This window comes from Homo sapiens, chromosome 5, assembly GCF_000001405.40.
Source record: "Homo sapiens chromosome 5, GRCh38.p14 Primary Assembly".
NCBI lineage: Eukaryota > Metazoa > Chordata > Mammalia > Primates > Hominidae > Homo > Homo sapiens.
In genome coordinates, this window is record NC_000005.10 from 115578496 (window position 1) to 115603860 (window position 25365).

Sequence of the window (25365 nt, forward strand, 5' to 3'; positions counted from 1 at the left end):
CCAACATTTTTCTTTATCATAAAAAAAATATGGAACTCCAAATTGGGTGAGACATTGTGTCTGGTGCTCTATGAAGTACAAATCGATGCTTCATTTCAAAACACTCTTCCACAATCTTCATTGGAGTTGAAAATAAACAAGTTTAGTCAAGAGTAAAGAATAAAAACATTTATTTTAAAAATACCATTTAGCATCAATTGCCCCAAGTTTGGCAGGCATGAAGAGTGGGCAGTTCATGTTTTATTAGTATATAAAATTGGCTTTACAGGAAGCATTATGGCAAAAAAATGAATACTTATTATGAAAACTGAAAAAGAGAAGTGAGTAGTAAGCTACTATCAGAACGTTAAGGCTAAGAAAATGTCACTATGCAATGAAAACCATCTCCTCCTCTAATAAGTACTAACAGAATAGGAGGCTTGACTTACTTGCATGCTCCTCATAGAACGTTTTGGTTCATGGCTATGAAGAGGTAACTGCAAAAAGATGTGTGCAGATCCCGGTACTGGTAGGGGATATACAAGTGGGGAATAAGAAAAAAGAAATTAAGCAAAATGTCTTTACTCAAGGATCTCTATAAAAATTTATTTTTAAGAAAGCCTGAGTAAGCATGTATATTTTTTTCCTGTGACTTTAAGTGTAATGACAGCATTAAAAATAAATTATGCTGTCAATATACAAAAAATATCTTTTCATTATAAGCATATATAAAGCCTTCTGCAACTATTACATATCACTTTATCGAATCCAAACTTTTTTGCTTGTTCCCTTTTGTGGTCCCTAGTTTTTCACATCCTCATAGAGGACAAAAGCCTTTAGAGATCCATCAATTCAACCCTTTCATTTCACAGATAAAGGAGGGTAAATAGTTTGCCCACAGTTACATTCATCCTCAGTGGCAGAAATTGGACTAGAACCAAGTCTCATGATCCCGAAGAGGGCTTTTCTCATTACATGACATGACCCATTCTCCACCCCATCCCTGATCTCAAGTGGACGATGCTCCCTCAATCTCAGATGGGCAGAAGGGCTGTGGAGGAAAGAAACAATCCTGTTTGGGGCCTCTCTGGCTTGTTAGGAGCATGGGGCTCTAGAATAGGAGGTAATAAAATACATCTCCTTCTATCCAAAGTCTTTATAAATAACCTATCACACACACACATGCACACAGTCAGGCTACTTTGAAGACCTAAATGAGAAATACTTCCTGAGAAGAGAATTGTGTGTGACGGAAACTTTTAAAGCTTCCATAAGAGAGGTTTTTGATTTAAAAAGTGAATATCTGGCCACTCACACAGTTATACGCCTTTTAGAAGCTCTGCAAATAAAGCCATAGTTACAAATGATGACTAATATGAAGAGATTTAAGCCCCAGGGGACGTCTGAACACCACTCCACGAAGTCCCTAACTACCACACTATCAAATGGGCTGTGAATCGGTGGTGGGAAATGCCTCCAAATATGCAGATTTCAGCAGAAAATACATTTGACTGGGTTCTTTTAAAAAGTTCCACCATTCTCACATCTATTTCTGATTTTATATGCATCAACGCTTAACATGCTAAATGTTCTATTCTGGCAATTCATATTTCTGGGTGATAGTACCCGAATGCTTATTGCAACATCCATGAGAGGTGCCTCAGGAGGAAGTGTGATCAGATCTCCTGGGGCCATTTTTTTTCTGTGTCCTTTGAGATCAAAATTCAGAGAATAAAAGTGTTGTCACATTTTTAAAAATGTCTGTCATACAAGTTTTTGTTCAAGGTTCAATACAAGGAATATGGATTGAGAATTCCTTTTTCATATCCATGAACTAGGAAAATTGTGAAAGAAAAGTCCTTGAAACTCTGACAATGTCAAGTTTACTGAAACATCAAAAAGTACCACAATTTTATAGGCTGTCCTGCAGAAATTTATCTTTCTTGTGCTCCATAGGTTTCTTTAAGGTGAAGACTCTCTTTTATTTAAACATTTCCTAGAAACTGCTTTCTCAAGTGAAGATTAATCATTTGGTTTACAAAACAAGAGCCAGCCACATGTTATATGTTTCATCTCAGGCAATAAATTGTCTTTGTACCATATTTCTTGTCTCTTTCCATATAGTTTGTTGTGTCTTATACACAGACTCCTGAAAAATTCTTTCTACTTGTGTAGGAAATCCACGACTTTCTTCCTCTAAGGCATTGATGGTTTGGAGGGCAAAGGGAGTCCTTTCTCGGGGAAGGGGATTGTTCAGGGGCCGCATGGGTATAACAGAGTTGTATTTATGCTGCCTGTTAACGGAGTTCATTAGGGACGTATAGAACTGGAAATTACACCAAGTATCTCTTAAAAAGTTTTCAGTCAGTAATAAGATTGTCCATGCAGACCCATTTACAGCATCATCTAAATTCTGTAAATGCTGTCTGCCACATGGCATCTCAGCAAAGATTATTCCGGGTTTGATACCAAAGTCATCTTGTAGCAGATTCTGGACTCTGAGGGCTTCATCTGTGTCATCTTCTGCATGCAATATCACAAATTTGAGGAACACCTCTTCTTCAGCTTCTTCTTCAAACATCTCTTCCACGCTCTGAGCTCCCTCCTGCTTTCCTGTTGGCCCCTCTGTTGTATTGCTGTGCTCAGCAACATTACACAAGGATAGATCTTCAGACTTCTTGGAATCTGACTCATGATATCCTGGACTTGTATCCACACTGTGCCTTTTACCCCAAGAGAGAGAAAGAGGGCAGGAATTTATTTTAGACTTCCCGATACCCATTATAAATATCCAAGGCAGAAGAGGAAAACTTTATGTATTTCTCAGCATTTCTTTTCAATCTAAAAGAAGTAACAAAACAGAAGAATATTATAAATTTAATCAAAACATTAAAAATGGAAACTTTCATTCAAACTGAAAAGCTCAAAAAGATTATAATAGACAGATCCAAATACATAAACGACAAACAGATAATTGGGAAGCTAAACTACTAATCTTTTGTGAGCTTTACAAGGGCTATCACAGGCAGCGAAGGGAACATTAAATAAAGGGTCCAGTTTAATATAATAGGAGACATTCGGAAAATGTAAATGGTGTTATATTAGCACTACAAACCTCCAGATTGAAATAAATTACGTTGGTATTTTTGTGATAGGTACCATACCGCTTTATCTTTTCATGCAGTTTAAATCTAATTTCTCCATTATCAAATTACCATGTAGACTAGAAACAGGAAAATATAAAGAAACTGAATATTCAATTAAGCATAAATATATTTCTGTATCAAGCACAAACAAAATAGAACACAAATATCCTAACAATGACTGGCAGCATCTCTACTGACAGCATAAACAGAAGATCTGAAATGTCAAGTGAAATGATGTCCAGGATTTACTGGTTCGGAGCTTTTTTTTGTTTGTCTGGAGTCAGGCATTGTGGTGATGGTGAATCTAATGGAGAATAAATTATAATAAGAGTGTGTGAAAAGTAAGAAATATCTTTTTCCAACGAATCCTGTAACTACTGAAGAAAATATATTTATTCACCTAAGGAAAAATTAACATCTCAGTTTGGAAATGAACTCTAGAAACAAAGACTTGAGACTTTCTCCAGTGAAATCAACAAAGAATGATTATAGTCTAGATTCATTCTTGTTTTTGTTGTTATTTATTTATTCATTTATTTATTTATTTATTTTTTGAGACAAGGTCTGGCTCTGTTGCCCAGGATGGAGTGCAGTGGTGTGATCTCAACTCACTGCAATCTCTGCCTCTCAGGCTCAAGCCATACTCCCACCTCAGCTTCTGGAGTAGCTGGGACTACAGGTACATGCCACACACCTGGCTAATTTTTTTTTTTTTTGGTTTTTTTTTTTTTTTGGTAGAGATGGGGTTTCATATGTTGCCCAGGCTGGTCTCGAACTCCTGGGCTCAAGCAATCCTCCCGCCTCAGCCTCTCAAAGCTCTGGGATTACAGGTATGAGCTACCACGTCTGGCCTAGACTCATTCTTTTATTTAAAAAAATTCTAAATTCAGAGTGGAAGAACTAGATCAACTGTGAAAGAAAAGTATACCATGTGAATCTAATTTAAATAAGTCTTCAGAAAACATTGGCAATATTCCTAATAAAATCCCCCAGACAGGCAGTTTCAAGGGGAATTCTTTTATTAAAAGACAGAACATTTAGAATATATAAATACAGGTTTCATACTTTCAAATGTGAGCCACAGACTATATTCCAGAGCATTTCTACTTGTTCTTTATGGGCAAAGGCCATACCTCAAGAAGAAATTATAACATTCATAACAACATAAGTAACATGGCTACATATGCCTACATAATTCAGGTTTAGAAGAAACTGTTCAACAAAAGTGGTGAAAACTGTCATGGGAACAAAAACCAAGGAAAAAAACAGAGAATTTCATTCAATGTATGTGAGTAAAAATGTTTGCAGCTGCCTCTGACTAGTGAGGAAACTGCTGACCACTCCGTCATTCACTCTGTCTGTACTTTAGGTTCTCGCTCCACGGTATATTGTGCTAGTTACCAAGAGGTATTCTAAGGCATAATAACTCTAAAATGTGACATATATCCATCCAAAATAATAAAACCAAATTAATTTGGACTCTCTTCATTGATTAGGATTCACTGCTGACTTTTGTTACTGCATCGTAAAAAAAAAGGGTTTTGCTATGCAAAGTTGCAGAAAGAAGTTTCCCCTGAATGAGAAAACAATAGTTAAACCATCCAGAGGCATCTATTTACTGTCAATTAAAATGATCTACACTTATCACTGAATTCAACACCATTATCTTAGTCACTAGCCGGTAAGACAAGTGCTTTGAAGGAATATAACAGCTATTTATAAAGAATATGAAAAACTTCTAGGGTAAGATAGTGTGTCAAGGCAGATCACAAAATCTTTTAAAATAAAAACAAAGAATTACAACTTCGACTTATTTTTCTTAAATACCAGTTAGCAAAAAAGAGCAAAAGACTTCAGAAATCTATGATGTGTTCCAACTTCCAAGCAGTGTCACCCACCTAATCAGACCGAGAGAAAAAAACTAGTGGCAATGTCTATAAAACTTTACCATCATCTTCTAATCTGGAGGGAGGGAGTAAGGAGACTGCCAAGGGAACAAGCTGTGGAAAGTTGTGCTGTTCCCACCACCACTGTGACTCAGACATGGAGAGATGGTCAGGATTCCTTAGTGCACTGTGGTTCCCAGGGCTGGGAGGAAGTGAGAGGACACGACTGTGCTTCACTGTTGGCCAGTTAACTCCATCAGTAAAAAGGGCTCTACTGGAACAAAGGAAAGGCATGGCGTGGTGAAGGAAATCTGGGGAAGGTTGGCCAAAGGAATCCTGGAAAGCCTCCTTTAAAGTTCTCCTCCTCCATCAGAACAATGAACACCAGGCTTAAAAAATTTAGGTTTCACCTCCTTGCTTCAGCTAAATGGAAGGAGAGTGAGGGTGCCACTTGGGAGACGCATGTGAGACCACTGTTCATAAAAATTAAAATGTGTATGTATATACATTTTCATTTACTTTTTTTAAAAAAAGGTGGTGGTGTGTCTCCATCCATCCTGTTACTTATTCCCATGGTCTCCTGCTGGTGACCACTTTTATCAGTTTCTCCTGCATCTTTCCACTGTTTCTCTATGAATATATATTCTTATTTTTCTTTCCTTTTTTCAAAAATGTCCCAAAATTCAAACAAGGATATTTTGAAAGAATATTCTTGTTATTCTTTCCTTTTCAAAAAAAGTATCATTATTCATATGTATACATGACATATAAATCCCAAACAGCAGTGGATAAACATTAGTATACATTGCTTTTTCCCTTTATATCTTCAGAGCTTTCCGTAACAGCGCATAGAGAACTTCTTCTTATTTACAACTACATAATCATGCAGCATGTGGCTATCCCATAATCATTCCCTGTTCTTGGATATGTGAGTTGTTTCCAGTCTACTACTAGGACAAACTATGCTGCAATGGATAATTCTGTACAAAAAGCATTTCATATGTGTGCAAGTTTATCTATAGAACAATTCCCCCAATGGGATTTCCATTTGTAACAGTGATTCATTTGGTCAAATTGCTCTCCGTAGGGCTGAGCCTTTTTTAAAAAAACTTATAACTTGATAGAATGACACCCCAACTCTATCCCTTGCCCCAGAAAAGACATAAGAGAAAAACTACCAATTACTGTTGACCAAAGCCCAACAGAGTGAATCATATCCATCCCCTCAGGCAACAGAAATGTGAAGAAACATAATCAATCCAAATGGTACCCTTAAACTAAAGTTCTGAAGGGAAGATCAATAGGCCTGAGATAAGAAGGAAGGAGAGTCCAGAATTTATCCACTTCATATCTATGCAAAAGAGGACCCCAGTAGAATTCTCTATATTAAACAGAAGAGGAATGAAAAAAACAACATGGCAAATATGCTATGGTGAATATGTAAAATATTACAGGAAATATAAAAGAATATAAAGGAGAATCATAGCGTACAAAAACAGATTTAAAATTCCATTTCATGAAGACTATGCACTCTGGAATCAGACTGCCTGAGTGTAAATCTCCTTCCTGCTATAAAATAACTGTGATTTTGTACAACTTAATCAATATATTTGTGCTTTTATTTCATTATCTGTAAAATAATTATAGTCCCTATCCTTAGGGGTTTTATGAAGATCAAAATGGCTTAGGATGGTGCTGGGCACATAGTAAGTACTCAATAAACATTAGCAGCTATTATTGCTATTAAATACATAACAAAGAAGCTAAAACATTTATACAACAAATGTTTATATTTTAGGGTGGTGCTAGTCAAAGCGTAGTCCATGAACAAGATGCCAGTCTCTGAACTGTTTCTTACCAGTCAATGAGGAGATAAGCAGATTGTGCCAGGATGTAAATCAACTACATCAGTAGGTATGCTGTTTAGCCAGCTGACATTTTTTTCCTAGCAAGACACTCTCAAAGCAGGAAGCAGCATGGTTTACATTCTGGTGCATGCTTCTTAGATTATCATGGACAAGCAGTTTGAATAACCTTGCTCTAGGAGGTACTAAAAAGAATATGCAATCAATGAAACAAAAATAGCAAAGATGAGATAAATTAACAGAATTAGATAAAAAGGGAGGCTATAGACAAATCAAGGATCCAAACACTATAAGGAAAATATAGAAACCGCAAAGGAGTGCCGTGGGGCTGGAGGGAGCCAAGGGTAGCCTAGAAGGAGATAAGCGAGAGCAGAAGCCAGGGGAGGATTTTGAGCAGAGGAGTGACATGATCTGACTAGTTTTCACAGGATCACTTTGGTTGCTGCACTGAGAATAGAAGGCAGGAATAGAAGGCAGGAAGGGAAGGGTGGAAGCAGGAACACTAGTTAGGAGTCTGTTGCAGAAACCCAATAGTAAAATGATGATGGCTTGAACCAGGATGGTAGTAGTAAAAGTGGTGAGAAGTGGCTAAATTTGGGGCATATTTTGAAAGTAGAACTGAGAAGATTTGCTGATGATGTTGACTAGGCATTGAATATAGAGTCTGGAGTGTAGGAGAAAGGTTCCAGCAGGGAGATGCATATTTGGCCTTTATCTTTGTATAGATTGTATTTGAGAAAGACAATATGAGATCATTAAAGACTATACAGGATTTTAAGGAGGTGAGTATAGATAGAAAAAGAAAGGCTGAGCCCTATGGCACTCCAACATTATGAAGGTGGAGTTATTGTTGTCATTATTATTAAGATTAACTATTCCTACAGTGATTTTTTATTTGTGTTGTGTTACAAATGATTTTTGGATAGTTGATGATCTGTCTTTAGGCTAGATTTATGGCAATTTGTTAGTCACTTCTACCCATTACTGCTATGACAACATGCAATTCATAAATCATTAATGAAACCATTAATTAAGGTAGAGTGTTGGAAAAAAAAAAAAAAAAACAGAACAGAAAGAACTAGCAAAGGAGGCAGAAAAGGACTAGTCAGTAAGGTTGATGGGTTGATGGAAAACCAGAAGAGAGTGGTACCCCAGCTGCTAAGGAAAGAAAACAGTTCAAGAGAAAGACAGTGCTTAACCGACTTCAAATGCTTATATGACTGGTCAAGTAGGGTGACCGATGAATGTAGCAATATTAAAATTTTAACATATTTAAAGAAATTTCACCTAGTACTGAATCCTTCAGCCTTGGAGAGCCTTTTTCGTTCATATCTGAACAGCACCATCTTGTGGCAAATATATGTAAAATCAAGATTCCTGTGTTCAATAAGTTTTGTTGTTAATAAATGTTTGTTATTAATAAATATTTTGGTGGAAACTCATTCTGCAGCAAAACATGCTAGGTTTTAGAGATGTGAAGCCAGGATAATTAAACAAGACAATTAGGACTCACTGCACAGGTGCTTTATTCAGAATATCAGGTGCCATGAAAGCACTCAGGAGGGCCATCTGCAGCACGGGACGCTTCACCCTTGCAAGACAAAGACAGGTGGACATTTTCTAGGCAGTGGAAGCAGCACTTGAAAAAACACTGAGGTACCAGAGGGCAAAGACTGTATGTTAGAATCATTTTGCACCGGACATTTATGGCTCAAGTCCATGAAGGAGGAGGCAGAAGAGGAAGGGAAAGAAGTAAGAGCAGGGGAAAGGTAAAGTAGATTAAAAGAGGTTCCTTATAAGGAACCTAAGGTATTTTGCTCAGGACTTTGGCTTTCATCATGCTGGCAGACAGATAGCCCCTGGTAGGTGTTAAATGCGAGTGATCTGATCTGACTTGACACAGGTTAAAATAGTCCTAAAATTGTTGATGATGAATATTACAGATGATATGGTGACCTATGGGACTTTGAGTTGTACCTTTTAGAGAGAAGGTGAGTGCACTTTTGTTTATATGAAGGAGAGTTGTATTCTATTGGAAGATGGCATACCATTATAACTATTACTGTTGTCTGGAAGTTTAGGTTTGTAAAGAAACTAGGCTACAGGACTGGAAGATGCTAGACTGGGAGAACAATTAGTTAAGAGGCTGCTACAATAGTGTCGGTGAGAAAGCAGAGCCCCAAACAGATGAAGTGATAGTGGAGGTAATGGGGATGGCATAGAGGGAAGAGTCAGGGATGCCTCCCAAGCTTATGCTTTTTGTAACTTGGTGGGTGGTGGTGTCATTCACTGAGAAAAGCAATATAATCAGGATGGAGTGGGTTGGGGGTGACCAAGAAATCCAGTCTGGGACCTATGGAGCTTGGGTGCCCATGGCTTCCAAGAGTGATCCAGTAGGCACTTGCACATGTAGGTCTGGGGCATAAAAGAGCATCTTAGATTGGGGATACAAGTTAGTTGCTTGCTTAAATCATGTGAGTAACTGAGAATAGGTATTGAAAAGAGAGGAGAGAGAGAGCTAAAGACAGAACCAATGACTGAAGAGCATATGCAGGGTGAGGGGCCCATAACGGAACAGGAGTGGCCCAGGAACAGCATGAAAATCAGACACAGAATGGCATCTGAAAGCCAAGGGAGGAGAGGGCTTCAGCAGTGGTCAGCACCCACGGCTGCCAAGAAATCAGCATCCACTGCATTTAGCACCTTGACATTCAGAGGAAAAGGTTGGCTGAGAGGGAAAGGAGAGGCCAATACTCATAACTAAATGCAGGGTCAGGAGAGGCTTTCATTAAGAGAAGATACTTGGAATGCTTACGAACTGAAGGGAATTTGCTAGTAAAGAGGGTGAAATATACGTGTGGAAGCGTCTTAGAATTAAGGTCTTATCCTCTTGGGCACTGGGTAAGCTCTGTCTCTCCACCACCACTCCTTTTCTGAAGAGGAATAGGCCACTTAACTCTTGAGTGTGCTGGGTCACAGGATAATGTCTGTGATGAATATTACAGATGATAAAGTGACCTATGGGACTTCACGTTGTACCTTTTAGAGAGAAGGTGAGTCCACTTTTGTTTATATGAAGGAGAGCTGCATTATATTGGGAGATAGCATGCCATTACAGCTATTGCTGTTATCTAGAAGTTTAGGTTTGAAAAGAAGAGTGTCCATGATGTTAATTAGCCAAAGTGGTGTTCTGTAGATCTGCTGCAGTATCTGCTAAAGAATTGTTCATCGAAAACTTATTCCTGTCTCTTTTTACTGTATCTTCCTGTACTTTCTGTACCACAAGTACTAAAAACTTTCATCTCCCAGACTCCCTCAATGCTAGGTTTCCTAAACGTAATTTAAGTTCAGCATCAGATGTACTTACACGTCTGAGTTAAATATGCAACGAGGCAGAACATGAAGCACCTGTTTTGCTGGCTAAGATTCTGGTAGAGTGGGCATAATTAAGGAGCTGGCTGCTTCCTGATTTGGCAGGAGGCTTCTGAGTATGCCAAAAGCCCCAGGCCAGTAGACAAGTCTGTTATATGGCTTTGAGAGGTGTTTCTAGAAACCCAACCTAGAGTGCAGTTCTTCAACTTTCCCAACGATACTGTACATCTTGTAATATCTCATAAGACACACCTTTCTACTTAAACTAACTAGAGTAGATTCTGTTGTCCACAACTAAACTGTGATTGATACAACATCCAAAACAAACTCTACCACCTGCTTCTGTAAATACATTTTTATTGGAAGGCAGACATGTCCCTTCATTGATGTATTTGTCTGTGGCTTATTTCATACTACAAAGGCAGAGTTGAGTATTGCAACAGAAACCATATGGCCCATAAAGCCTACAATATTTACTCCTTGGCCCTTCACAGAAAAAGTGTGCTGATCCCTCAACTACAGCACGGGAGTGTGCCAAGCTCTGCCGAGCTGTCAGGACACAGTAGAACAGATCCACGCCAGCCAGATAAGAAACACATAGACTATTCTTAGACTTCTTAGACACTGGAAATATTAAAAAATCCCAACTAGGGTAATAAGTATTTTCAGGAACAGAATGAGTTGAATTTGAATCCATCTTCATCTTAGATTGAAATAACATTCTTGAGAATTGGCTGTCATTTGTTTTCTTTCTTTGGGGGATTGCAGAGAATCAATAAGGATGGCAAAGGCCCAGCCTAAATAAAAGGATTATCAAATATCAAATATTACCTATTGGCATTTATTTACAGTTAGAGTAAGCCAGTACCTATACTTTTCATTCTTAGCTATTAGAGCTTGCATTAGAAAGGTTAGAGTTATGGGATCTATCAAAGCCTAGCACTCTGTATCTTTCCTTCATGGCACTAATCACAATTAATTATTTATGTGAATGGTTATCTGCTTAGTTTCTCATCATTCTCGCTAGACTGCAAACTCGATCAGAACAACGATCAACTTGTCTTATTCATCACTATATCCCCAGAGCCTAGCATATAGTTAGCATTCAAGAAATGCTTTGTGAATGAATAAATTAATTAGCTCCAAAGATATGACAGAATTCTGTAGCTTTAGAGAGAAAGCCAAACAGATAGCTTTTGATCATCCCTATTATATAAATCATTGACTCAACCAGAATAGAGAGTAACCAATCCAAATATATTTTGTTAGATTTTAAAAATGATCACTTATACTACATTTTTTAAATAATTATGTGAATATAGGGTCTGGTGCAGTTGTCCATGTCTGTAATCCCAATACTTTGAGAAGCCGAGGTGGGAGGATCACTTATGGCCAGGAGTTTGAGACCAGCCTGGGCAACAAAGCAAGACCCCATGACTACAAAAAACATTTAATAAATAAATTTAAAAAGAATGAGGATCACTTGAGCGCAGGAGTTTGGGGCTTCAGTGAGCCATGATTGCACCACTGCACTCTAGTTTAGGCAACAGAGCAAGGCACTGTCTCAAAAAAGAAAAAGTTACGTGAATATAAATATGACATATGCATTATACATAATATGGAAAACAGAAAAGATTACAAAGTAGACAAAAGGACCATTATCTAACTATGAAGAAATGAAATATGAAACCTTTCCACAGTGCTTCCCATACCTGGATTCAGAAATTTCTGTACAAGTTGGTTGTCTTATTGATAGAAAGCAATATTAATGTACATTTTCTAAATTGAAGGGAAATCCTTTCAGGGGATACATTGTATTAAAAACTCAAGTTCACTTTCTTTATTACCCATCCATATCCTATCTATTAGCTACAGATGTATACAGATGTCTGAGCTGCTGACAATCAATTTTCTTTAAGATTTTTCAGGTTCTTCTGTTTGTACTTTTGCTCTCCTGCTTTTACTTGCATGTCGTACTTATTTAATATCTTTCCCTTTAGAACTATCATCTTACCTTTCTTTCTATTCCAAAGATATAGGCTACAAAGGAAAGAGGAAATAACTCCTATGAAAAGTTATTTAACTCTCTATTATGGCTTTAAAGTCACTAAAGGCATTTCCCAAGATCCATTTAACTATACCATCATGTGTCAGTCTCTCTCTCTCATCTCCTCCTTCTCAGTCTCCTTTACTAAATGCTCTTTCTTGGCCTGTTTCTCAAATATCAAAATGGGGCTATTTGCAGCTTCCACTTCTAGTACTGGTGGACTAGGTAATTTGGATCAATGCTACTGCTGAGGATAACTAGAAAAGCTAGACAAAATAGAAAAAAAAAATAGGCTTGAAGCATCAGAGAACTAATGACATAGTGAAGAATTATAGAACCCAAATCCAGAAGACAGAAACCCAGAGACGACTCTCCCCCTAGAGTATTTTTCAATTTCAGAAGAGGAAAGCTAGTGCTGTGCTTTTTGCCCCTCATGGTTAATGAGACAAAAGTGTGACTCCAGTTGTGTGCTTTGGGTTGGGACCCTGAAGGCTACACCTAGGTGTACGAGTGATCTAAAAACAGACTGATCCTCCCAGGAATGGAAGCATTCTTTTTAATAACTGCCATCTCTGAAATCAGATTAAAGTGATCACAGATTGTTAGTGCTGCCAGGAACCCGGCACAAGCAAAAATTAAATCCTCTCTGGAAGAAGACAAGAAAGCCAGCAAACGCAGCTGACAATAGAAATAAATCTATGTGGATTTCAAACTTTTATTAATAACTGTGATTGCACAAGAGGAGGAAAGATTGAGAATTTTGTCAGATAACTGCAAACTTTAAAAAAAGGCATGGCAGGTAAGAAAAAAATCTAAAATTGAAAAATATAATAGTTGAAATTAAGAATTGAATGGATGGATTTATCATTAGATTAGATCAGCAGCAGAAGGAACTCATGAACTAGAAAACAAGCTAGAAAAAAAACCCTTCAGAATAAGGGAGAGAAACAAAAAAAGAAAGTAAAATACAAGAAAGCAGGTAAAAGCTACACAGAACAACTATACAATTAGAAGGTGTAACAAATGTGTAAATTGGAGTCCCAAATGAAAAGAGAGAGAATTAAAGCAAAGCAGTAATTTAAGAGATAATGTAAAGACTTTGCAATATTGAAGAAAAACATCAGATCACACATTTTTAAAAGTCCTATGAACTTCAAGGAAAATAAATAAAAAGAAAACCACATCTAGCTTCAACACAGTAAAACTGCTAAGAGCCAATAGCAAAGAAAAAAGTCTTAAAAACAGCAAGAGAAAATAGATTACCTTAAAAGATGCAACAATAAGAATGTTTCTCAAGAGAAATAATGATAGCTTTAACGTGATGAAAGAAAATAGCTGCTAATCTAGAGTCATATACAAAGTAAAAGAAAGCACAAATAACCAATGTCAGAAATGAAAATGGGATCTCAGTGATGATCTTGCAGACCGTAAAATGTAATAAAAAGATTATGACCAATCATATATAAACGCAAGTGAAAGCTGAGACGAAATAAACACATTCCAAGAAATAGACAATTTCTCAAAACAGACACAGAAGAAATAACCTGAATTCAATTATTTTTTTCTTCAACTTTTAACTTCAGAGGTACATTTACAGGATGTGCAGGATTACTACATAGGTAAATGTGTGCCATGATGGTTTGCTGCACAGATCATCCCATCACCTAGGTATTAAGGCCAGCACCCACTAGCTATTCTTCCTAACCCTCTCTCTCAATTATTATTAAAGATATAAATTCATAATTGGAAATCTCCCCAAAAAGAAAAATCCAGGTTCAAATAGTAGCCAAATATGTAAAGAAAAAAATAATAAAACTAGAAGATTAAAAAAGAGGAAACATTCCCCAACTCATGTTTATGAGGCCAGCATAACCATGACACCAAGAACTGATGCGAATATTACAAAAAGGAAAATTATAGATCAGTCTAACTCATGATTATTACTTCAAAAATCACAAACAAAATGTTAGAAAAATGGATCCTTTTTAAAAAAAGGATAATCCATCACAACCAAGTTGGGTTTATTTTAGGAATGCAAGGTTGATCTGACAAGTAAAAATTGATTGATGTGGCTGGGTGTGGTGGCTCACGCCTGTAATCCCAACACTTTGGGAGGCCAAGGTGGGTGGCTCATTTTGAGGCCAGGAGTTCACGACCAGCCTGGCCAACATGGCAAAACCCCACCTCTACTAAAATACAAAAATTAGCTAGGTGTGGTGCCGCATGCCTGTAATCCCAGCTACTCAGGTGGGTGAGGCAAGAGAATTGCTTGAACCCAGGAGGCGGAGGTTGCAGTGAGCCGAGATCCTGTCACTGCACTCTAGCCTGGGCGAGAGAATGAGATTCTATCTCAAAAATTTAAAACAAAAATCAATGTAAGTAATCACATTGACAATTAAAAATAAAAATATTTTGATAAAATTCAACATCCATTCATTATAAAAACTCTTAGCAAACTGGAAATAAAAGAGTCTTCTATCATCCAAAAATTTTAAAAATTACCAAAACTACTAAAAGATAAGCAAGTTTAGCAAGAAAATGGATATAATAAGATCAACATAAACAATTCAACTGTATTTTTGAATACCAATAACAAAGATAAAAGATAAAATTACAAAAAAAATGTCATTTTCCAATAGATCAAAAAATATCAAATAGTTGGGCATATATCTAACCAAAAAAGGGGCAAGATTTCCACACAGAAATATTAGTGAGATAAAATATAAAAGGAAAGTACTAAATAAATGCACATATATATCATGTTTATTACTTGAAATATTCAATATAGTAAAGATGTCAATTCTCTCTAAATTGATATATAGATTCAATGCAATAACAATCAAAATCTCAACAAGACTTTTTTTGGTTGGGTTTTACCGGTTCAATTCCAGAATTTCTATGGAAATATAAAGAGTAAGAATAGTCAATACACTTGGAAGAATAAGATGGGAGGACTTGTTCTATTGGGCATCAACACTTACTATAAAGTTACAACAGTGAAGACAAGGTAATACAGCAAAATGTTAGACAAATTGCTAAAGGGATGGGATAAGGAGCTCTGAAACAGATCCAAACATATATGGACACGATGTACAACAAAAGAGGTACTGCAGAGTAGTGAGGAAAAGAAAATCTTTAGGAAAAATGATTGTAGACCAGAAAATGATTACATGGTTGATTGTTTTTTTATTTATTCAACTATATACTTTGCTCTATGCGCTTTTGTGTTCTATGTTATTACTATATAAAAACAATTTTCAAAAATATGAGTATCATGCTTGGTCCTTTTCTCTTCTGCCAGGATGTCCAGCCTTTCCAGCTCTGTAACTTCATCCATGCCTGAAATGTGATTCCTCTGACTAAAATGACCTTTGTAACATTATCTACTTACTTAATTTTTAAAAATGATCAAATTAAAATATATTACAATACTTACAGTATGATCCCAATTCTGTGTTCAAATTATACTGAATCTGTGCATCTTTGCATATGCTTGCTTTAAACTGTGTGTATGTATACATACATATTCACATACACCCAAACACACATATGGTTGTGTGCTTTCCTATGCAATACAATTCATGAGAGCACTGTTTGTCTTAGATGTCTTTTTATACTTTTAAATAAATAAATGTATGTAAGTATGTGTGTTTAAACGCCAAATAGCAGAGTTATACATTTTTTGCTAGTAGATCAGTCAGCTTAGGAGACTAAGTTCTGTCATTGGCTCTCAGCCAAGAAATACAAAATTATTCAACTTACTAAGTTTTCCTCAGTCTGAATGGCAGCTTGACAAGGTGTTTATACTGTTTGCCAAAATGTTGTTTTCTAGCAAACAGTTTTCATGCATAACAAAGACATAAAAGTGACAGTGGCTAGACCTGTTAGAAAAAAAATATATGATAGATGTTTTGGCTAAAAGTACTTTCAAGAAATGACCACAGAAAAAGAGGATACAAATAGCAGGCAATTAGGAATTGGTGAAAATCCTTTGGCATTAAGAAGGCACCATAAATACCCTTGCAGCCTGGGAGGAGGACTGACTTACAATTGGATGAACTGAAATAAATGCTGGCTAAAGGCGTATCATGACTTTAGGAGATTTTTTTTTAGGAGACAAGCTCATCCCCATCTGAGATGATGGATACAGACTCAATTCAGTCTGTGAGTTGTTTCCAAACAGCACTCCCTTCTCTAGGTTTGTAGCACCCCTGACTCTGCACACTATTCTGACATGATTCCAATAGAGGCTGGGCCACAAGAACTAATATGAGTGATAGATATCAAACTGGGCTTGGTACAGTCATTCCCTCTGTTGACCAAAGTTTGCTTACTGGGTCAAGCGAATAGTACCTGGGCCATAATAGGTACTCAATAAGCACAGGGTAAATGGACAGATGGACAGACAGATGGATCAATCAATCAATCAATCAGTCAATCAATCTTTCCTCCTCAATCTTCTCTGCCTTGGTCAATGATACTAATATCCTCTCTACCGATTACGACGGAAACCTACAAATTATTCTCATATTCTTTCACCCATTCAAACAAACCCTCCCCACAACTCCACCCACTAAACTTTAAGTCCTGCTAATAGATATGTTTAGTCTGCCTCCTAAACATATCTGTCTCTTTTCCCATTCTCTCCATTCCCTGCCTATGCTTTAGTTCAAGACCTATATTATTCCTCCTTAGAGGATTACAAATTCCCATAATATCCAACTAGTTTCATTGCCTCCAGTCTCTTTCCCTTTACATCATTTCTAGATAGATCTTTCTGCAATGGAAAACTGATCCTGTTTTTCTCTTGCTTAAAGATCCCTTTGATAATACCCTAATGCCTTCAAGAAAAACTCTATCTTATTAGAATAACATTCTAGGCCCTTTATGATCCAATCTCTCCTTTTATCCATAAAATTTGCTCCTACCATGTTACTCTTGAGAGTTCTAATATCCACCTATTTACGGTTTTCCCAAATGTCATGTTGTTGCCTCCATGCTCCATCTTAGAATGTACCCTTGCCCAACCATCTACATGAATAGCTCCTCTTTATGATTCAAGACACTACTCAAGGATTGCATTTCCTTTTATCTCCAAGTTGAATTAAGTACTCATCCTCTGTATATCCATAATATCTGGTTCACATCTCTTATAATATGTATTGCCCAGCACTCTTAATTTGTCTTACTTGCTGACCTGGAAGGTAGCTTGCACCTCATTTTCCCAGACTTCTCCATCATGGTAAAAGGCATTATCATTTGTCCTGTTATTACCCAAAACCTGGGGTATCCTTGATACCTTCCTCTTACTCTCCTATTCCTGCACTTCCAAGTGATCACCAAGTCCTGTGTATCTAACTCTAACAGATAATCTCAAATTGTTTCAAGTTTCCTCTCTACCACATTTTCATTCTAGATCAATGTCTCTATCCTGGTCTTCTGCACTGCCTCCTAATTGGTCCCCTACTCTCAATCAGTCTAATCCATTCTCCACTCAACAGCCAGGATGATCTTTCAAAACATCTGATTTGAGTTACTCCCATTTATAACCCTGCATTGGCTTCCTACTGTGCTTGATATAAAAATTTCTTGATATGACAAATAATACCCTGCATAGCCTGGCTCCTTCAGCTTCAACCTCATCTCATGCTTTTCTCCACTTTGTTCCTCCAGCTCCCTGCACATGGGTCTTTATGGGTCTGTAAGAGTTGTCAGAATCAAAGTGGAGTTACTAGTGTTAAAAAACCGGACAATCAGAGCCAGGAAAGGCCATGAAGGAAAGGTTCTTAAATATAAATGCCTAGTAACCAGAACTATCATAAAAGTCTCCCCAAAAACCAGAACCTTGGCTGGGCGCGGTGGCTCACGCCTGTAATCCCAGCACTTTGGGAGGCCAAGGTGGGTGGATCATGAGGTCAGGAGATCAAGACCATCCTGACTAACATGGTGAAACCCCGTCTCTACTAAAAATGCAAAAAATTAGCCTGGCGTGGTGGCGGGTGCCTGTAGTCCCAGCTACTCGGGAGGCTGAGGCAGGAGAATGGCGTGAACCTAGGAGGTGGAGCTTGCAGTGAGCCGAGATCACGCCACTGCACACTCCAGCCTGGGAGACAGTGAGACTCCGTCTCAAAAACAAACAAACAAACAAACAAAAACAGAACCTTGCACAAATGCCATCACAGTCCTATATAAAAAGTACTTCTGCAAGAACAACTGCCCAGCAACTTCCTGTCCAATTTCAGACTGGTGCCACCCTTGTTATTTACCCACAAGCCAAAAATAATTATCTCAAAACAATTATGTAAACCTCCTCATTTTTACTTTGAAAATCTTTGTCTGCCTTTACTTCCCTGAGTACACACAATTTACTATGGCACACATATTCCCACTGCAACGCCCATTTCTGAATAAATATTACTTTCTTTTAGAGAGCCTCTATCTCCCTCTGTTATTTAGGTTGACAGACCTTTTTGTCAGTTTCTCAAACTGGCTTAGCTTTCTCTTGTCATGCAATCTATGGAGATATTTTCTGGCATATTTGAAGTATGAGTTATATGACTATATTTTATTATCATAAGAGATCTTGTACAATCATAAGCTAGTCAAAATTCCATTGGAGGTAAAAATAAAAATATCCAAAAACTGGGGAATGATAATATTAACTATGTCACATTATTCATATGATCGAATCCTATTAAACCATTAAAAATGTTTATGAATGTTATGAACAATTTTAATGACATGAGAAAAACGCTTCTCATGACACGAAAATGAAATGTAATTAAAGAAAAGGAACTGACTGTAAAATAGTATACAGAATATGATCTCAGCTTTGTTAAACAAAATGCAGAGAAAATAGATTAGAAAGAAGTACTGTCGTCTCTTGGTATACTTAAGGGTAGGGAAGACTGATTCCAGGGGTTCCAGGACCCCTGCATATACCAAAATCCAAGAATACTCAAGTCCCACAGTCAGCCTGCAGAGCCTGCGTATACAAAAAGTCAGCCCTCCGTATGTGTGGGTTTTGCATCCTGGAATACCGCATTTTTGATCCATGTTTTGTTGGAGAAAATCCACATATGAGGGGACCCACATAATACAAACCCATGTTGTTCATGGGCCAAGTGAATACCAAAAAGGTAACATTGATCCTCTGTGAATGGTATATGCATAAGAATATATAAATGTGTATATATATGTATTCCTTCATATATATGTGAAGAACTCACGTGTTCTTCACATGTACACATATATACACATACATGTTCACCTTTTGAACAATGATCACACAGTCTGAAAAAATAGTTTTTTAGTAAATAAAAATTCATTTTCTAGGCTTTATATTTTTATAAATATCAATTAGGTCAATAATTGTCAACAATTATGTCAATTATGTTGATTTGATTTCCATCTAAATAGTATCTTCCTTATATATATCTTTTCCAACACCTTTGGTAAGTGTCTTCCTTACATGCTCTATCTCTACGTTCCAAATGAGTTTAGCCTATCTCCAGGTTTAGCTCTATTTCATCTGTTTTTTATTTATATGCAAATATTCCAAGAGCATGGGTTTGCTAACTCTAAACCAAACAGGGCTTCTCCAACACTCTTCTTAAGTACCAAAGGACAGAACATTCATCTTCATCGTACCTAAAACAGGTCCTTGAGCAAGTAAATGTTTAAAAAAATGCTTCTATCCGATCTTCACCTGGGCACTGCTTTTTCATCTTGTGGACCCTATCTCTTCACTCAGTTGCTAGGAAGCTCCACGTTAATGAGTGCTCTGGCCAACAGACAGAAGCTTATGGCAAGTGTTTTGATACTATTAATAACTTCACTCCTAGTTTCTGCTTAACCCCCCTACTCTTCTCTCTGTTCGATATTCCAAATCTACTTATTATTTAATTTAATTTAATCTTATATTGGAAATATTTATTAAAGTATCTTAAATCCTAATTCTGAAATAAGAAGGAATTTTCTTCTTTTCTTTTACAAGAAGGGGTGATAGTACATACGCTACTGATAACAGAACCAGTTCCTTGAGATTAAAATGAGAAATAAGGATTATAAATTAAACAATCTTTTAGTTGCTACACCTCTTCATAAAGATGAAAATATTGTTTTTCATTTCTACATAGTCCTCAAAAGAGAACTGGAGCCAGATGCAGTGGTATGTGCCTCTAGGCCCAGCTATTTGGGAGGTTGAGGTGGGAAAATTGCTTGAGCCTGTGAGTTTAAGACCAGCCTGGGCAACATAGCAAGACCTTGTCTCAAAAAAAAAAAAAAAAAAGTTCAATTTATATAATATCTTATAAAATCTTCACAACTCTGACATTGGCTTAGTCACTGCAGAACTTAGAAACTTGTATATTATTCTCTGAACAAGTGTCTTTATTTTTCTTCTTCCCATAAACTACCTGCTGCTGGTACCATTCAAAGAGTCTCCAAATGTTAGATTATTGCTTCCTATTTCCTATTGCCCCTATTGGTGGGGGGAGGGGGGCAAAGTAACTGCCCCCCACCAAATATTATTACATATTCTTTTTAGTGAACTGGATATTTTTCTTCCATTTTCTGTATCTAAAAATGAAAACTGATGGTAAAGGGCAAATCTCCAAATCAGGAAGAGATTTTATAAAAACATAGAACTTAAAGGCAAACTGTCCATCTTATCAAAATTAGGCTCAAAAGAAAAATGGTTGTGCATTTTTAATATTAGGGAACTCAAGCAACCAACAATGTTTTAAAGGTTCCATAAGCTTCATGGAATACTAGAGAGTAGCATTCAGTATTTAATAGCAACCTACCGCACAGGCCCAGCAGCAAAAGAGATCTTGCTGCAATAGCACAGTAACCCCTGAGGCAGCATGCTAACAGAGAAGTGAGGGAGTACAGTGTGCAATGGTCTAGCAGACACCAGCTGCAGGCAAAGGCAACAGCAGCACAATCAGTGTTACTACAGTGGAGTGGATGAGAGGGAAGTCAGGAGATGAGTTCAGAGAACTAGTCAGGGACTAGATCACACAGGGCTTTAAAGCCATTGTAAGCCTGTTTTTCTTTTCTTTTTTTTTTCTTTCTTTTTTTTTGTGATTCTGATAAGAAGCCACCAGAAGGTTTTGAAGGGAAATGAAAGTTCTGAGTATGTATGACAAAAATCACTGCTATTTGGAAAAGACTGTAGAGGAGCAAGGGCAGAGGCAGAGACTTCTCAATCATGTAGGTAGGAGAGGACTGTGGCTTAGCTTAGAGAGGGAGAGAGAGGTGGGCAGATCTGGGTAGAGTCAACAGATTTTGTTGGATGCTTGGATGCGGAGTCTGACCTAAAAAGAGAAGTCAAGAGTAAATTCCTAGAATTCCGGCCTACTTGAATGGCAGTAACTGAGGCTGTTTATTGAGATAAGGGAGGGAGCTGAGGGGAAACAGAGGGAGAACTTGGTGAATCTGGCATCAGTAGTTCTATCTGTCCATACTAAATTTAAATGCCTATCAGACTTCCAAGTGGAGATGCTGAGTAAACAGCTGGACATACACATACATCTGGAGCTCAGAAGCGAACTAAAGCTAGGAATAAAATTTTGGAAGTCATCAGCTGATAGATATTATTTATAGCCAAGGAATATGGCTTGGGATACAAATTGTCCTGGGGGAAAGTATGGCTAGAAAAATATGGCCAAGAAATGAACTCTGTGGCATACTAAGATTTAGTGGTGGGGAAGCCTGGAGACACAATGAAGCAGAATGAAATGCAGAATATGGTGACCTGGAAGCCAAGTGAAGAAGAAAGAATATTAGTGAAGAACATTAGTGAAGAAAAAAGAATATTGAGGAGGGAGTGATCAAATGTTACTGAGGGGTCAGGAAAGATGAGAACTGTGCACAGACACTGGATTTCACAAGACAGTCATTGGCAACATCAGGACCATGCAGGGGGTAATGGGGACAAAAAGCCTCAGATGAGAGGGGGTAGGAAGAAACAGGGAAAATGAAAATGGAGACTTAGATTAAATCTTTCAAAGAGGATTTTTGTTTGTTATAAAAAGAAGCAAAGTAGGGGAGCGGGACCTAGAATGGGATGTGTGGTCTAGGGGGGATTAAAGACAGAAGATTTAACAGCAGATATTTGTTAAATGAATACATTTTAAGAATAGCATAAGGAACAAATGACTCAACACAGATGCCCATGATTCAACAGTGTAAACATGGTTTATACTTCAAGTTCCATACGGTAAGGCGTACATGTCACATTTACTTTGCTTCAAATGTAGGTGTCAATATTCTATACCTGCTTATCTATTTTCTGATTTGAATGAGATATAAAGTGGAGTTGCTTAACTCCATTTATAACCATCCTACTACTTCAAAATATTAAAATGTAAGGATTGATGGGCTGATAGGTGCAGCAAACCACCATGGCACACGTTTATCTATGTAACAAACCTGCAAGTCCTGCACATGTATCCCAGAACATAAAATTAAATTAAACAATAAAAAAATAGAAATACAGATTCTGGAAATCAAGCTTACCAAATTAAACCTTCAGAGGTGGGGGGATGCATTTTAAACAAAAGTCCCAAATGCGTCTTACCATCAGGCTTGTTTGAAAAACACTAATCTAAGGAATACTAAACACTTGGAGAAGGACAAGTTCTTCTCCTGTGTAGACGTGCAATGTGGGTTCAGGGGATGACACTTCAACTCTATATAATGGTGTATTTTTACCTCCAGATCATATAGCCTTTCCCACCCTTGCTTTTCAAAATTAAAAGGATAAATTAAAAAATAATAATAAATATGAGAATATTTTAAAATACTTTCTTTAAGAAGTTTACTACCGTGGAAAGCTGGAGAGGTCCTAATACACTGAAAACTAGCTCACAGCTGCCAGTCAAATTATTTTTATCCAAATTAGCTTTGCACAAAAAGCCAAGTAGGAAAACCCATGCCAAAACCTCCAGCACTGGCTCTGTGTGCCTGGCAGGGGCTCATGCAGAGCCTTTAGAGCATTTAAGACTCTGGGCTATTTGCTTATGGTTCTGAGGTGTCTTTTCGAAAATGGGTTTTCTAGTCAAAATGAAACAAAAAGGCAGACAGCTGTGTGGATTTTCCCTTCAGAGTAAGCCAAGTGACGGAAAGGCCTGCCCGCCCCGCTGGGGACAACAGCGCCAGCACCCGCGCCGTCGGGTCGGGTAGGCTGGGGAGGTAGCGCAGGCGGCCTGGCCCCCAGACCACCCCGCGCCCCTGGCGGCCTGGCCCCAGCCCACCCCGCGCCCCCGGCGGCGGCCCCCGCCCTAGCGCCCGGTACTTGCCTGCAGGCGAGCGCCACCACAGTCAGCCCGCGGCTTTTCTGTCTTCCTTTCTGGCCCAGCGAGAGCGCCCAGGGGGTGGGCGTCTTGCCCCGGGCGTCGAGAGTTTGGGGCCGTCCCGTACGCGGCGCGCCGCAACCCAGTCCCCGCGACCACAGCAGCCTGCTCCCCACCGCGCTTGCAGAGCCCGGACGCGCGTGAGTCGGGGGCCCGCAGAGGCCTCACCCTTGGAGGTCGCCGCTTGTCAGGCCTGACTGCTGTTGGCGCCCACCCCGCCGCCCCCGAGGGGCCGCTCGAGGCCGGACTGCTGCTTTGCCGTGGCAGGCCCCACCCGGGACGTGGCGCTGCGGGCCGGGGCGGTCCAGCTGTGAGTCAGGGGTTAATGTGGCGGGATAACTCTCTGCAGAGGGAAGGAGCTCGCAAAGAAGGGTGGAGGAGGGGAAACCGCAATGGGGAACTGTCACCGAGGCTAGTGGACTCTCCCTGCGCTTTTTTTTTTTTTTTTTTTTTTGGCATGTACCCCAAAAGCCAGAGGTCGAGGCCCAGAAAAATCTGGAAAGGAATTCCACCGTGTTTGCTCCTTACAGACCAGACAAACCGTAGATCTTTCAGAGGTACAGCGACTCTCCTGGTTCCCTAAGATAGTCTCGACTTTTCCTTTCCCTTTGCGGCCCTCTCACTTGACTACTGCAGCCAACCATACCCCTGATTAGGGGGTGCAGCACATCAGCCTCTGCCCCCAAAAACTACCCTGCGAAAGATCCTTTTTCTCAGGTTCGTTCTCCACAACCGAACAGATTGGAACTCCACTGAATAAGAGAGAACAAAAAAGCAATTAGTTAAATGAAGCGTAAAGAAGCCTTATAAAGCCCCATTGCTGCCTCAGGCACCCAATCTAGTCATAACCTAAGAGGTCCAGTTCAGAAATCTCCCCTCCCCTTTTAATTCTCAGGCAATCCCTACTCCCTGCCAAAGGAGAACCCAGTTACTGAACATCGGATGAGACCATGGATAGTAAATTGGGAGTGAAGGTCCATACCTGGGTCTCAGAAGCACAGTACAGGTAAAGCTAAGAGTTATTTCCTCCTTCTCTTTCCCCATCCAACAACAGGATGCCTTACTGAAGGTAGGCACTTCAGGTAGTAATTACTTAGTGAAATGCCGCCAATGTAGTCAGAAATACCGTATTATGTACCGTGTCAACACAATTCATTATTCACGGAGTTGATTCTCCAACCACTGCACCTCCCAACAATTCTACCTGAACTCTTTGGGTAAGCAGTGGCCTCCTAAATCCAACTGATACTTTTGTTGCCCTCATTTTTCCTGGGAGTCTCTTTGGCGATTGACAAAGTCGACCATTGTTTCCCAACACTCTGTTTCCTTGATGTTGACAACCCCACTTTGCCTTTATGCTCATCCTGCTTGTTAAAATTCTTTCAGGCCTGTTGGGAGGCCGAGGCGGGTGAATCACGAGGTCAGGAGATCGAGACCATCCTGGCTAACACGGTGAAACCCCGTCTCTACTAAAAAATACAAAAAATTAGCCGGGAGTGGTGGCAGCTGCCTGTAGTCCCAGCTACTTGGGAGGGTGAGGCAGGAGAATGGCTTGAACCCGGGAGGCGGAGCTTGCAGTGAGCCGAGATCGCGCCACTGCACTCCAGCCTGGGCCACAGAGTGAGACTCCGTCTCAAAAAAAAAAAAAAAAAAAAAAAATTCTTCTTTCAGTTTCCTCTGCCTGTTCCTCTTTCTCTGGCAACCCTTCAA

General features: G+C 38.8%; 2 protein-coding genes and 1 long non-coding RNA gene across 5 annotated transcripts in view, besides 5 other annotated features; 1 reads left to right on the top strand and 2 right to left on the bottom strand.

Moving 5' to 3' along the window:
* Positions 1 to 23984, bottom strand: TICAM2 (TIR domain containing adaptor molecule 2). Its single transcript, NM_021649.7, has 2 exons — positions 23602 to 23984; positions 1 to 2820 (listed from the first exon to the last, which is right to left on the bottom strand). Exon 2 carries the CDS (start codon positions 2759 to 2761, stop codon positions 2054 to 2056), a length of 708 nt encoding a protein of 235 aa, NP_067681.1. The 5' UTR covers positions 2762 to 2820; positions 23602 to 23984; the 3' UTR covers positions 1 to 2053.
* TMED7-TICAM2 (TMED7-TICAM2 readthrough) overlaps positions 1 to 25365 on the bottom strand; it is a 47541-nt gene continuing 22176 nt past the window's right edge. Inside the window, exon 4 of one of the 2 annotated variants that reach the window (NM_001164468.4) lies at positions 1 to 2702. In NM_001164468.4, the coding sequence (NP_001157940.1) occupies positions 2054 to 2702 (649 nt within the window). In that variant the 3' untranslated portion in view covers positions 1 to 2053. Of the gene's footprint in view, positions 2821 to 25365 lie in introns of both variants that reach the window. The other variant, NM_001164469.4, reaches the window with a different exon arrangement.
* Positions 10293 to 10372: a silencer, noted in NCBI's record as "silent region_16252". NCBI's record gives its function as "represses an Ori minimal core promoter by ATAC-STARR-seq in GM12878 lymphoblastoid cells {active_cell/tissue: GM12878}" and the evidence as "EXISTENCE:reporter gene assay evidence [ECO:0000049][PMID:35858748]".
* Positions 23306 to 23385: an enhancer, noted in NCBI's record as "active region_22935". NCBI's record gives its function as "activates an Ori minimal core promoter by ATAC-STARR-seq in GM12878 lymphoblastoid cells {active_cell/tissue: GM12878}" and the evidence as "EXISTENCE:reporter gene assay evidence [ECO:0000049][PMID:35858748]".
* Positions 23306 to 23975: a biological region, named in NCBI's record as "H3K27ac-H3K4me1 hESC enhancer GRCh37_chr5:114937526-114938048".
* Positions 23334 to 23856: an enhancer, noted in NCBI's record as "H3K27ac-H3K4me1 hESC enhancer chr5:114937526-114938048 (GRCh37/hg19 assembly coordinates)". NCBI's record gives its function as "activates a minimal SCP1, AML or CMV promoter by ChIP-STARR-seq in naive H9 embryonic stem cells {active_cell/tissue: H9 hESC(naive)}" and the evidence as "EXISTENCE:reporter gene assay evidence [ECO:0000049][PMID:30033119]".
* Positions 23476 to 23975: a silencer, noted in NCBI's record as "silent region_16253". NCBI's record gives its function as "represses an Ori minimal core promoter by ATAC-STARR-seq in GM12878 lymphoblastoid cells {active_cell/tissue: GM12878}" and the evidence as "EXISTENCE:reporter gene assay evidence [ECO:0000049][PMID:35858748]".
* Positions 23660 to 25365, top strand: part of TICAM2-AS1 (TICAM2 antisense RNA 1) — an 18265-nt gene continuing 16559 nt past the window's right edge. For both annotated transcript variants that reach the window (NR_109874.1, NR_109875.1), the window contains exons 1-2: positions 23660 to 23965; positions 24551 to 24661. This is a non-coding gene — a long non-coding RNA (TICAM2 antisense RNA 1). The remainder of the gene's footprint in view (positions 23966 to 24550; positions 24662 to 25365) is intronic.

Excerpts from the sequence above, each read along its gene's own strand:
- TICAM2 (NM_021649.7), bottom strand. The coding sequence starts at position 2,761 with ATGGGTATCGGGAAGTCTAAAATAAATTCCTGCCCTCTTTCTCTCTCT.